Genomic DNA, 1,044 nt, shown 5'->3' on the forward strand with positions numbered 1-1,044 from the left:
GTGGTTTTATCTACTTTTGGTCTTTAATGATGGTGATGAACAGATGGGTTTTGGTGTGGATGTCCTTTCTGTTTGTTAGTTTTCCTTCTAACAGACAGGACCCTCAGCTGCAGGTCTGTTGGAGTACCCGGCCGTGTGAGGTGTCAGTCTGCCCCTGCTGGGGGGTGCCTCCTAGTTAGGCTGCTCGGGGGTCGGGGGTCAGGGGTCAGGGACCCACTTGAGGAGGCAGTCTGCCCGTTCTCAGATCTCCAGCTGCGTGCTGGGAGAACCACTTCTCTCTTCAAAGCTGTCAGACAGGGACATTTAAGTCTGCAGAGGTTACTGCTGTCTTTTTGTTTGTCTGTGCCCTGCCCCCAGAGGTGGAGCCTACAGAGGCAGGCAGGCCTCCTTGAGCTGTGGTGGGCTCCACCCAGTTCAAGCTTCCCGGCTGCTTTGTTTACCTAAGCAAGCCTGGGCAATGGCGGGCACCCCTCCCCTAGCCTCGCTGCCGCCTTGCAGTTTGATCTCAGACTGCTGTGCTAGCAATCAGCGAGACTCCGTGGGTGTAGGACCCTCCGAGCCATGTGCGGGATATAATCTCCTGTTGTGCTGTTTTTTAAGCCCGTTGGAAAAGCGCAGTATTCGGGTGGGAGTGACCCGATTTTCCAGGTGCCATCTGTCACCCCTTTCTTTGTCTAGGAAAGGGAACTCCCTGACCCCTTGCGCTTCCCGAGTGAGGCAATGCCTCGCCCTGCTTCGGCTCATGCACGGTGCACGCACCCACTGACCTGCGCCCACTGTCTGGCACTCCCTAGTGAGATGAACCCGGTACCTCAGATGGAAATGCAGAAATCACCTGTCTTCTGCATCGCTCACCCTGGGAGCTGTAGACCGGAGGTCTTCCTATTTGGCCATCTTGGCTCCTCCCCCGATGTAGAATATCTTTCATGTGCTTATTGACCATCTATATATATCTTTGAAATGTCCATTCAAGCCCTTTGTCTATTTTTTGTTGGGTTGTTTTGTGTTGTTGTTGAATGTTAAATCTTGTATATTCTGGATATT

General features: G+C 53.0%; 1 annotated feature.

Moving 5' to 3' along the window:
- Positions 209–709: an enhancer, noted in NCBI's record as "H3K4me1 hESC enhancer chr8:27412252-27412752 (GRCh37/hg19 assembly coordinates)". NCBI's record gives its function as "activates a minimal SCP1, AML or CMV promoter by ChIP-STARR-seq in naive H9 embryonic stem cells {active_cell/tissue: H9 hESC(naive)}" and the evidence as "EXISTENCE:reporter gene assay evidence [ECO:0000049][PMID:30033119]".

The sequence above is a fragment of the Homo sapiens genome, chromosome 8, assembly GCF_000001405.40.
Source record: "Homo sapiens chromosome 8, GRCh38.p14 Primary Assembly".
NCBI lineage: Eukaryota > Metazoa > Chordata > Mammalia > Primates > Hominidae > Homo > Homo sapiens.